Here is a 13020-nt window from a genome sequence, read left to right as displayed (position 1 = left end):
ATTCTGTTTTATTCCCTTCTGTATGTCTGTCTGCATGCCAGTACCAGACTGTTTCTGTTACTGTAACTTTGTAGTAAGTTTTGGAATCAGGAAGTGTTAGCCCGCCACCTTTGTTTTTCTTTTTCATTACCATTTTGGCTTTCAGGGTACCGTGAAATTCTATGTGACTTTTAGGATGGGTTATTCTATTTCTTTGAAAACCCTACTGGGATTTTGATAGGAATTGCATTAAGTCTATAGATTGCTTTGGGTAATATTGACATTTTTGCAATAGTAAGTCTTCCAATCTATGACCACAGATCCCTTCCCATTTATTTATGTCTTCTTAATTTCTTTCATACATGTTTTATAGTTTTCATTGCCCAAGTTTTTTACTTTCTTGATGAAGTTAATTCTTCATTTAGGAGGCTCAGTGTTCTGAAAATTTGTTCTTTTCGATGCTATAATAAACAGAATTGTTTTCTTAATTTCCATTTTAGATTGTTCAGTGTTAGAAGAAATACAACTGATTTTTGTGTATTGACTTTGTATCCTGCTACTTTGCTTAATTGGTTTAATAATTCTAACAGTTTTTGTGTAGAATCTTTAGGGTGTTTTACATATAAGATCATATCATTTGTGAACAAGTAATTTTGCTTCTTCCTTTCTAATTTGGATGTCTTTTATTTCTTTTTCTTGCCTAATTGCTTTGACAACAACTTCAACTATTCAGCTAGTGGTCATGTTGAGTACAAGTGGTGAAAGCAGACATACTTGCCTTCTTCCTTATCTTAGAGGAAAAGCTTTCAGTCTTTCACCACTGAGTATGATGTTCACTGTGTGTGTTTTGTATATGGTTTTTCTTAGGTTGACATAGTTTCCTTCTATTCCCATGTGCACTTGAGAAGAATGTGTGTTCTGTTATTGTTAGAGTTCTGTGTCTCTTTGGTATATTGTGTTTGTTCATCTCCTCTATTTCCTTACTTATCATATGTCTGGTTGTTCTGCCCATTATGGAGAATGTGGTATTGAAGTCTCCAGCTATTATTGTAGAACCATTTCTTTCTTCAATTCTGTCTCATTTTTGCTACTTAACATTTTGATGGTCTGCTATTAGGTGCGTTAATTTTTGTAATTGTTACATTCCTATATTGAACCTTTTATTAATGTATAATACCTTTGTTGTCTCATAACCTTTTTTTTATTTAAAGTCTATTTTGTCTGTTATGAGTACAGCCACTCCTGCTCTCCTTTGGTTACTGTTGCATGAAATACCCCTTTCTGTCCTTCAGTTTCAGCATATTTGTGTCTCTGGATCTACAGTGAGTCTCTTGTGTACAGCTTGTGGTTGGAACATTTTAAAATTTTTATTCTGCCAATTTCTGTCTTTTGATTGAAGAGTTTATTTACATTTAAAGTAATTATTGGTAAGGAAAGACTTACTTTTGTCATTTTGCTATTTGTTTTCTTTATATATATGCCTTGTAGCTTTTTTGTTCCTCATTTCCTGCATTACTGTCTTCTTTGGTCTTTGATTAATTTTTTGTAGTGAAACATTTAACTTTCTTGTTTCCTTTGTGTCTATTCTTTAGTTATATTTTGTGTGGTTACCATGGGGATTACATTTAACATCCTAGACACTTCTAATCTCAATTTGTACAAGCTTAACTGCAATAATATACAAAACCTCTGCCCCTTTAACTGCTCTGTCCCAACCCCTTTCAGTTGTTGATGTCACAGAATTACATCTTCATATATTGTATGCCCAAAAACAGAAACTAGTAATTTTTAATGCGTTCGTTTCTTAAATTATGTAGGAGACAAAATATGAAGTTACAAATCAAAGTTATAATGTTAGCTTTTAAACTAATAATTGATTTTCGTTATTTACCAATATTGACTTTGTTTATTAATATTAGGCTTATTTATTTATTTATTTATAGGCAGGGTCTCATTCTGTAGCCCAGGCTGGAGTGCAGTGGTGCCATCACAGCTCACTGCAGCCTCAACCTCTTGGGCCCAATCGATTCTCCCGCCTCAGTCTCCTGAATAGCCATGACTACAGGCATGTGCCTACCACACCTGGTTAATTTTTGTTGTTGTTGCTGTTTTGTTTTGTTTGTAGAGATGGGGTTTCACCATGTTCCACAGGCTGGTCTTGAACTCCTGGGCTCAAGCCATCTCTGCCTGCCTCGGCCACCTGAAGTGCTGGGATTACAGGTGTGAGCCACCATGCCTGGCTAGGCTAAGTTTTTTTTTTTTTTAAATTTGAAAATGTAATGGTCTCTTCAATCATGTGGAAAACCAAAAGCAGATTTACATAACCATTGTTACAATATTACTAACTAGTGTTTATTATTACCTATGTATTTACCTTTACTGAGATCTTTATTTCTTCATATGACTTTGAGTTGCTGTCTAGTTTTCTTTCATTTCAACCTGAACTGCTACCTTTAGCACATCTTTCAGGGCAGTTCTAGTGATAACAAACTCCCTCAGCTTTTGTTCATCAGAGAACATCTTAATTTCCCCCTTAATTTTGAGGGACTGTCTTGCTGGATATAGGATTCTTAGTTGACAGGTTTGGGTTTTTTTCGTCTTATTTTAGCAGTGAGTATTTCCACCCACTGCCATATGACCTCCAGAGTGTCTGATGTGAAGTCTGCTGATAATCTCATTGAGGATTTGTTGTATGTGACAAGTCACTTCTCTTGTTGCTTTCAAAAATCTCCCTTTGTTTTTGGCCTTTGACAGTTCTAGTATAATGTGTCTCAGTGTGAGTCTGTTGGATTTCATTATTGTTTATTGAGCTTCTTGGATGTTTATATTCATGTGTTTCATGAAATCTGAGAAGTTTTGGCTATTATTCAAATATTTTTTCTACTCTTTTATCTGTCATTTCTCATGCAACTCCCACAATGCATTAGTTGGTCTGCTTGATGATGTCTCACGGGTCCCTTAGGTTCTGTTCACTTTTCTTGAATCTCTTTTATTTCTGTTCTTCAGACTCAGTACTTTCCCTTGTCCTATCTCATGTTCACTACTTTTTTTACCTGCTCAGATATGCTTTTGAATCTCTCCAGTGAATTTTCTGTTATTGTACTTCTCATTTCCTGAATTTTATAATTTTTATTTCTCTTCATTGATATTTCCGTTTCGTTCATACAGCACTTTCTTGCTTTTGTTCACATCTTTTAATTCTTTTTTTTTTCTTGAGACAGAGTCTGGCTCTGTCACCCAGGCTGGAGTGCAGTGGTGCCATCTCGGCTGACTGCAAGCTCCGCCTCCCGGGTTCACGCCATTCTCCTGCCTCAGCCTCCCGAGTAGCTGGGACTACAGGCACCTGCCGCCACGCCCGGCTAATTTTTTGTAGTTTTAGTAGAGACGGGGTTTCACTGTGTTAGCCAGGATGGTCTCGATCTCCTGACCTAGTGATCCACCCACCTCAGTCTCCCAAAGTGCTGGGATTACAGGTGTGAGCCACTGTGCCCGGCCATCTTTTAATTCTTTAATAAAGTCTTTGTCTAGTAGATTTGCTATCAGGTTTTTGTGGGTTTTTTTGGTTTTTTGGTTTTGTTTTGTTTTTTTTGACAGAGTCTTGCTCTGTTGCCCAGGCTAGAGTACAGTGGTGTCATCTCGGCTCATTGCAACCTCCACCTCCTAGGTTCAAGTGATTCTTCTGCCTCAGCCTTCCAAGTAGCTGGGATTATAGGCACCTGCCACCACACCCAGCTAATTTTTTGTATTTTTAGTAGAGACAGGGTTTCAGTATGTTGGCCAGGCTGGTCTCAAACTCCTGACCTTGTGATCTGCCCGCCTCAGCCTCCCAAAGTGCTAGGATTACAGGCGTAAGCCACCACACCCAGCCTTATTTTTTTTTAAGGAACAGTTTATATTGATTTATATTTTTTTTAATAAGCCACTTATTCTTGTTTATTTAAACAGCACACTTGAATTTAATAATTTGGTAACTCTGAAAATCAGATTCTCCTTCTTCTCCAGGGTTTTCTTTTTTTGTTGTTATTGTTTTTCTGATTGTTGTAGGCTATCAAAGATCAGCCTCAGGTGTAAACGTAGGGTCTTCTTAGATATTTTCTGAGCCTATGCCTTCCCCTGGGCATGCACAGTGACTTTCTAATTTCCTCCATACATGTGGTTGGTTTTTAATGTCCTAGTCTTCAATGTCTGGCTCCCAAAAGGGGAAAAAGAAAATTGAATTGGTGTGTAGGAAGGGGAGGCCTCCAGCTCTTTCAATCTCCTGGAAGTCAGTTCAGCCTGGGAGGTTGGGGTGGGGTTTCCAACAATGAGGAGGAGGTGGAACAGCAGTATCCAGGGCCTGTTTGCACCTTTGTGATGAGAAGCAGCATTCAGAGCACAGATCTCCAGTATTTGGAGAATGTAATTTTCTCTGCCCACCGTGGCTTGTGCAGGCGGTACACAGTTGACTGAGGGATAGAGTGTGGGGAGCTGCTGCTGTGCTAAGCCTGCAGGTCACTGAAATTAACTACAGTTCACCTGGAAGTTGCCAGCCTTCAGTAGACTCCAAGTTCCAAAACATCTACATCAGACACATGCTGCCACTAAAATTGTGTTCAAGGTGGAGAAACAGATTTGTGGTGCTTCCTACTCTACCTTCTTTCCAGAATCCACCCCATTTGTTTTTACAATCATTTTAACCTGCAGTGATCACCTCAGTCATAGCATTTAACTTTGAATGCAATGTGTCTCAAATTAGGATCTAAGAAGAATTCTCTGGAGTTTGTGAGTTTTGCATTGGAAAAGCACTTGTAAAGCACTTGTTCATAATTGAGTAGAGGAGAAAGAAACACTAGACAAATAACATAATGAAACTTTGATCAATGCTGAGAAGGAGAAATACAATGCAGATTGTAAAAGTGGATTTTCTAAACTATTTTGACCTATTTTAAAATAATTGGATCTTAGAATGTATTTTAACACGATTTTTAAAAATGTAATATTGCCCTCTGAAACTTTGTAAGGCTGCTTCAGTCTGTTACAGCAGCAATCACTACAAGATCCTTTGTTGATGAAATAGAATGGTAAAATTTGGGTGAGCCATGTGCCCAGCCAATAAACTTGACTTTTTTTTTTTTTTTTTTTTTTTTGAGACAGAGTCTCGCTCTGTTGCCCAGGCTGGAGTGCAGTGGTGCTGTCTCGGCTCACTGCAAGCTCCACCTCCTGGGTTCACACCATTCTCCTGCCTCAGCCTCCCAAGTAGCTGGGACTACAGGCGCCTGCCACGAAGCCCAGCTAATTTTTTTGTATTTTTAGTAGAGACGGGGCCAGGATGGTCTCGATCTCCTGACCTCGTGATCCACCCGCCTTGGCCTCCCAGAGTGCTGGGATTACAGGCGTGAGCCACCGCACCCGGCCTAAACTTGAGTTTTAAAAAGTCCTACCCTGGGTGACAGAGCAAGACTCCATCTCAAAAAAAAAAAAAAAAAAAAAGACTTTGGGATCCTTAACCAAGACAGCGAGTAGTAGAACAGGTAACATGGAAAATCAAACAACTACAACTAAAAGACTTGGAAAGAGTCTACGTGAAATTATTTCAGATGAAGAAAAAGCCCTCATTGCACCTTGGTTCAAGTGACCCTGTAATCTCAGACCTGGTTCTAGGTCTCTCTATACCTCCCTCTACCACTCAGTGACATTTGAGTATAGGTAAATCACAGTTATTATTAAAATTCATTTTCTCCATCTGTGAAAAGATAGCAATACCTGTCTTTACCCAGGGGGACTGTGTGAGGCTCTAGAGAAGTAATATAAAAGAAAATATGTTGCAAATCATAGGAAGCTATAGAAATGCTTATTCTGTTACTAAAATTTATATACCATTGTGTATAGTTCCAACTTGGACAACAGTGAAGCTCTATAATTCACTTAGAGATTGGGGGTAGAGGCAGTAAAAGGGCAAGGATATTCCAGAAGGAGGAACTAAAAAGCCCCTAAATAATTTGACCCAAGCATCGGTAATAAGGCTTAAGAAACATAATTTTGCTCACCCATGTTGGCCAGACTGGTTTTGAACTCCTGGTTTCAAGTGATCCACCAGCCTTGGCCTCCCACAGTGCTAGGATTACAGGCATGAGCCACTGCACTTGGCTGAATGCCAGTATCTTAATAGCAACCCTGACCCAGAGTATTTCACAACTACTTTAGCTATTAACCTCTTTAAAACTGAGTACTTGGCTCAAAGTGATTTTTTGGTTTACTTTTTATTATGCAAAATTTCAGAAATATTCAAATGTAGAAAGAATAGTACAATGAACTCTATGTATACCCATCACCAGCTGCAGCAATCAACTCGTGTACTTCTATTTGATTCATAACCCCTCCTACTCCCAACCTTCCATTGTTTTATTTTGAAGTAAATATAACACCTTATATCATTTCGTTTATATATATTTCAATATTAGCGAGACTTTCTAAATGAATAGAATCAAAAGGTAACTTCTATAAAATGATGATGAGTTGGTACTGATAAACAGCTAACATAATAATTATGGTATAAATTAGATTTTGATAAAAACCAACTTTTTCCACTGCATGTTTGGTAAAAAATCGGCAGAGGGACCAAAAGGCTTTCTTGCCATAGTGTTTTTAAAATGTAATTTCTTTTGTAACTTTAAATATCCTATTCTTTCTTGCCCTTTTCTTCTGTAATTGCTTAAGCAGAATAAAGTGAAGTTGTATTATTAATTTTTTTAGCAACGTAAAATACCAGTTTGAGTAATCTCAATATACCATTGGGAAATAAGTAATTTGAAATATTCATAAAATCTCAAATGTCTGTAAGTTGGGTAGCTTTGCTTAAATAGCAGTTTTATAAGTACAATTTTTATTTGTTGAGTGGACTTTCACCGAATTATTCAAAGGTAGACTATTATTTAATGGTGGGACTAAACATAAAGTATTATATTTAATTTTATTTTTATATATAATGAAGTATTAGCTACTCATTTTTAACTTACTGCTTGATGTAGCCCAAATGCATACTGTTTAATTTTTTAACCATGAAACTAGGTTGTCTTTAAGCATTTTGTCATATCATTTAGCTGTGGTACTGTGCTGAAAATAATGTGTTATTTGAAGTTTGAATATTCCCCTTTATTAAAAGCCTGTACATTTGGAAGAAAATGGTTATTTTGTGTTACAGTGTTACTTTATACAGCTTTTATGTATAATTCCTCAGGTAATTGAAGTAGAACCATTAATGTGTGTAAGCATATCTTCTAAAGTTTGTTTAAAGGATAGTCATCTTTTTTATTCTCTGAAAGTGTTATGTGACTTGGTACTTTCATAACTTTAAATATGCAGAAGAAAGAATTTTGAGGGGAATTACATCAGATTTTTATTATATTTTTCATTTGTTATTGCATTTTATTCTTTAGTTTCATATACATAATAATTTCTAACCTAACCAGAAAACCAAGATTTTTTTTCAATCCAAACTTAACTAGGTGTGTGTTATTCTGCTTATTTTTCTTGCTGTAATAAATCACTGTTAATTCTGTGAGTGGTCTAGAATAACTGGAAAGCAGTCATTGCAGCTGAAAATAATCGGGTTTTTACATTAAGAGTGTGTTTTTAGTTTCTAAAAGTTTACAATTGATTTCTTTCTGTGATGAACTTTTTTTTTTCCTTGTTTAAAAACAGTTCACTGTGGGGAAGAATTTTCTCCTGGGTGATGAAATGATTGAAATCTTTACTGTATCTTTGGGAAGAGAAAACAATGATTTCTAAGCAACCTAGGAAGAGTTATTGGTTACACTAAAGAATATTCATGGGTTTTATGAGAAGGCTATGGTGATCTGTGTAAAACTTAAGAAAATCATGGCTGCTTTAGCAGAAATAGCAATTTATTTCTTAAAAGCAAATCTGTTTTAACTGCTTATACATAATTTTTTCTGTTTGGTGCTGGAGAAAGGATATATTATTTAACATATAAAAAGCTCATATAAGATTATAACTTAAGAAATAGCAAGTCTTTCCTATGCCTCTAACATTGTGAACATGAACATGTAATGTTTTATTTTCTTGTTAACACATTTACAATTTCTTCTTAAAGGCAAATCCTCCCCCAGTACTGGTCAACACAGATAGCTTGGAAACACCAACTTACGTAAGTTCCATTTCCTCCCCACATTGAAGTAATTCTGCCTTTCCTGTTCCGTTTTTTGATACAAATGCGAAGACCATGGCATTGTTTTCTCTAATACATTTCTCTTAAGATGTTCTATCACTATATACTATAGCTGTAATTGCTATAGTAAATTAAGTAGTATGGTCCTCCTTTGGTCATTTTTTTTTCCTTTTGTAAAGCAGAAATTTTGAAATAGAAATTCGTAATTTAATTCAGAAATTATGATGGCTAACTTTCACAAAAGGTTGTCTCTGACCATTGGTTGCTTACACAGTGCCATATATTTAAATCATTTTAGAAGTCTAATTGAATGACTAGATTTTTAGTAACCAGGTTTTTTTTGTGCATTCATATATACGAAAATAATTAGTTATAACTTTGTAATTTTAAATTGATCAGGGACAAAAGTCCACTTGTTGCATAATTTTATTATATGAAAGTTCCAGAATAGATAAATCCATAGTTACTGAAAGTAGATTAGCAGTTGCCAGGTGGTGGGTGTAGGGCAGAATGGGGAGTGACTGCTAATAGGTACAGGGTTTGTTTATGGGGTAATAAGGATGTTCTGGAATTAGAAAGTAATGATGATGGCACAACTCTGTGAATAAACTAGAAACTACTGAATTGCATACTTTAAAAAGGTAGATTTTATGATATGTGAATATCTCAACATAATTTGTTAAGGTAAAAAAGTAGAAAAAGGTGAGTTAATAACATAAATGCAAATTAAAACAATTAATACATCTTAAACATTATGTTATCAAAAGAGCAAAAAGTTTGTCAGTACATTCTGCTGGTGACAGTATGGGGTAAAAATATACTGCTACATTTTTGTTGAAGTTTAAGTGGATAAAACTTTAGAAAATGCCGCAATTTCGTGATAATGATTGAGTCTAAAAACCATTATTTTTATATTTTTTCTTTTGTAACTTTTTGTATTGTATGTAAGAAGCCATTGCATAATCCAACATCACAAAGACTTAGAGTTAAGTTTTCTTCTAAGAGTTTTATGGTTTTGCTTTTAGATTTTGGTCTTTGATTCATTTTGAGTTGATTTTTGTATAATGTGAAGTAGAGGTCCAACTTCATTCTTTTGTATGTGGATAGCATCACTGTTTGTTGAAAAGACTATTCTTTCCGCATTGAATGGTCTTGGCAACCATATAGAAAATCAGTTAACTGTAAATATATGGGTATATTTCTTTAATTCCTTTCAATAATGTTCTTTAGTTTTCTGTGTACAAGTCTTGGAGTTCTTTTGTTAAATTCACTTCTATGTATTCTCTCTCTTTTTTTTTTTTTTTTTTTTTCTTGAGACAGTTTCACTCTGTCACCCAGGCTGGAGTGCATTGGCACAATCTCAGCTCACTGCAACCTCCACCTCCCAGACCCAAGATGATCCTCCCACCTCAGCCTCCCATGTAGTTGGGAACACGGACACGTGCCACCATGACTGGCTATTTTTTTTTTTTTTTTGTATTTTTGGTAGAGATGGGGTTTTACCATGTTGCCTAGGTTGATCTTGAACTCCTGAGCTCAAGTCATCCAGCCCGCCTCAGCCTCCCAAAGTGCTGGGATTTCAGGGGTGAGCCATCATGCCCAGCCAGTATTTTATTCTTACGATGCTGTTATAAATGGAATTGTTTTGTTTATTTTTGGAGTTTTTATTGCTAGCATATGGGAATATAATTGACTTTTAGGTGTTTATCTTTTATCCTACAACCTTGCTGAACTCATTTATTACCTCTGGTAGTTATGTAGTTTGAATTTTCTATATACAAGATCATGTCACTGGCAAATAGAGATAGTTTACCTCTGGATGCCTTTTATTTCTTTTTTTTTTTTAATTTTAAAGGATGGGAAACTTCAGGATTTTATTTTTTGTTTTTTGGATTTTTTTTTTAATTTCAGTAAGTTTTTAGGGAGCGGGTGTTGTTTGGTTACATGAATAAGTTAGTGGTGATTTCTGAGATTTTGGTGCACCCATCATCTGAGCAGTGTATACTGTACCCAGTATGTAGTCTTTTATCCCTCACCCCAGTCCCACGCTTTCCCGAGTCCCCAAATGCCAATGTATCATTCTCATGCCTTTGCATCCTCATAGCTTAGCTCCCACTTATGAGTGAGAACATACTGTGTTTGGTTTTCCATTCCTGAGTTACTTCACTTAGAATAATAATCTCCAGTTCCATTCAGGTTGCTGCAAATGCCATTATTTCATTCCTTTTTATGGCTGAGTAGTATTCCATGGTGTGTGTGTGTGTGTGTGTGTGTGTGTGTGTGTGTGTGCACACCATATATTTTTTATCCACTCATGGAAAAATGGGTATTTGGGCTGGTTCCATATTTTTGCAATTGTGAATTGCGCTGCTATAAACATGCATGTGCAAGTATCTTTTTCATATAATGACTTATTTTCCTCTGTGTAGATACCTAGTAGTAGAATTGCTGGATCAAACGGTAGATCTCCTTTTAGTTCTTTAAGGACTCTCTGTACTGTTTTCCATAGTGGTTGTACTAGTTTACATTCCCATCAACAGTGTAAAAGTGTTCCTTTTCACTGCATCCACGCCAACATCTATTTTTTTTTATTTTTTTATGATGACCATTCTTGCAGGGGTAAGGTAATATCACATTGTGGTTTTGATTTTCATTTTCCCGATAGTGATGTTGAGCACTTTTCCATATGCTTGTCAGCCATTTGCGTATCTTCCTTTGAGAATTTTCTATTCATGTCCTTAGCCCACTTTTGGATGAGATTGTTTTTTTCTTGCTGATTTGTTTGTTTGAGTTCCTTGTAGATTCTGGATATTAGTCCTTTGTCAGAAGTATAGATTGTGAAGATTTTCTCCCACTCTGTAGGTTGCCTGTTAACTCTGCTGATTATTTTGTTGTGCAGAAGCTTCTTAGTTTAATTAAATCCCATCTGCATATCTTTGTTTTTGTTGGATTTGCTTTTGGGTTCTTGGTCATGAAGTCTTTGCCTAAGCCAATGTTTAGAAGGGTTTTCTGATGTTATCTTCTAAAATTTTAATGGTTTCAGGTCTTAGATTTAAGTTTTTGATCCATTTTGAGTTGATGTTTTTATAAGGTGAGAGATGAGGATCCAGTTTCATTTTCTACATGTGGCTAGCCAATTATCCCAGCACCATTTGTCAAATAGGGTGTCCTTTCCCCACTTTATGTTTTTGTTTGCTTTGTCAAAGATCAGGTGGCTGTAAGTATTTGGCTTTATTTCTGGGTTTTCTATTCTGCTTCATTCTGTGTGTCCATTTTTATACCAGTACCATGCTGTTTTGATGACTATGGCCTCATAGTATAGTTTGGAGTCAGGTAATGTGATGCCTCCAGATTTGTTCCTTTTGCTTAGTTTGGCTTTGTCTGTGGAGGCTCTTTTTTGGTTCCATATGAATTTTAGGAATGTTTTCTCTAGTTCTGTGAAGAATGATGGTGGTATTTTGGTGGGAATTGCATTGAATTTGTAGATTGCTTTTGGCAGTATAGTCATTTTCACAGTATTGATTCTACCTGTCCATGAGCTTGGGATGTGTTTTTGTTTGTGTCATCTGTGATTTCTTTCAGCAGTGTTTTGTAGTTTTCTTTGTAGAGGTCTTTCACCTCCTTGGTTAAGTATATTCTTAAGTATTTTATTTTCCTTTAGCTATTGTAAAAAGGGTCGAGTTCTTTTTATTTTATTTTATTTTATTTATTTATTTATTTATTTATTTGAGACAGTGTCTCACTCTGTTTGTTGCCCAGGTTGGAGTACAGTAGCACAATCTCAGCTCACTGCAACCTCCGCCTCCTGGGTTCAAGTGCTTCTCCTGTCTCAGCCCCCACCCTACCCCACCCCTTGGCCCCCGCCCTGAGTAGCTGGGATTAAAGACGTGCACCACCACACCTGGCTAATTTTTGTATTTTTAGTAAAGTACTCAGTGCTACCTAAAAAGCCCCTTTTATGTGCTGCTTAGAAACCTACATCATGAATTGGCATTAAATTAAGCACCAGGAATATTTACTGAGCACCTACCTTGTGAGGAAACTTAAAGGTGAAAAATCTCAGATTCCTTAAGGCAGAAATCATAAGGTCACAGTATCAAAATTTTACGTTAATGCCAAAAGGGCCATATAAGCACACTCATTTGGAAATGTTTTCGAAAATAAAATTTTAGATTATTTAGAAATAAACAAATGAACAAAAATGGAGCTCAGTGCAGCTAGCAGTTGTGGGATTTGGCCTAATCCATATGCCAAGGAAAATTGGTAAATTTTGAGGTTTCTAAAAATAGAATAGAGTAAGCATAAATTGAGCATTCAACTCAAAAATCTTTTTTAGAAAATCAAAGGACTAAAGAACTGTTAAAAACAGAAAGTAATACCATGAAATGTAATAGATTCATCAATAATGTCAAAACTGCTTATTCGATAAAGACTGATAGACTTTTAGCAAGTCTTGAGTAAGAAACAAGATGATGCAAATAACCTTTAGAATAAGAAAGGGGATATTGCTGCAAATAAAAATTTTACTCGTAACAAAGGACTTCCTGTCAAGTAGGTAAGCCTCCCGTACTCTAGATGCACAGACATGATCAACACAGCTCTTGAAGTTACTCCTCCTAAACTGAGATAAAGAGATTTTACGTGTGTGTGTGTGTGTGTGTGTGTGAGAGAGAGAGAGAGAGCAAGCAAGCGAGCTCCTGGTCAACATAGACCCCATCTCTATGAAAAACAAAAGTAAACAGCCAGGCATGGTGGCATGTGCCTGTAGTCTCAGCTACTCAAGAGGCTAAGGCAGGAGGATCACTTGAGTCCAGGAGTTTGAGGCTGCAACGAGCTATGATTATGCCACTGCATTCCAGCCTGGGTAACAGAGT

At 36.2% G+C, this 13020-nt stretch overlaps 1 protein-coding gene across 45 annotated transcripts in view; it reads left to right on the top strand.

The window, feature by feature from the left end:
- The window catches only part of DLG1 (discs large MAGUK scaffold protein 1), a 256762-nt gene that overhangs the window by 141454 nt on the left and 102288 nt on the right, over positions 1-13020 (top strand). For 39 of the 45 annotated variants that reach the window (NR_158764.1, NR_158765.1, NR_158767.1 and 36 more), the window contains one exon: positions 8072-8125. The exons of the other annotated variants lie outside the window; for them this stretch is intronic. Coding sequence is in view for 33 of the 39 variants with exons in the window: in NM_001290983.2 (NP_001277912.1) it covers positions 8072-8125 (54 nt within the window). In the remaining 6 variants the exon portion in view is untranslated. The remainder of the gene's footprint in view (positions 1-8071; positions 8126-13020) is intronic. 45 annotated transcript variants of the gene reach the window in all.

This window comes from Homo sapiens, chromosome 3, assembly GCF_000001405.40.
Source record: "Homo sapiens chromosome 3, GRCh38.p14 Primary Assembly".
NCBI lineage: Eukaryota > Metazoa > Chordata > Mammalia > Primates > Hominidae > Homo > Homo sapiens.
This window is presented reverse-complemented; position numbering and strand designations above follow the sequence as displayed.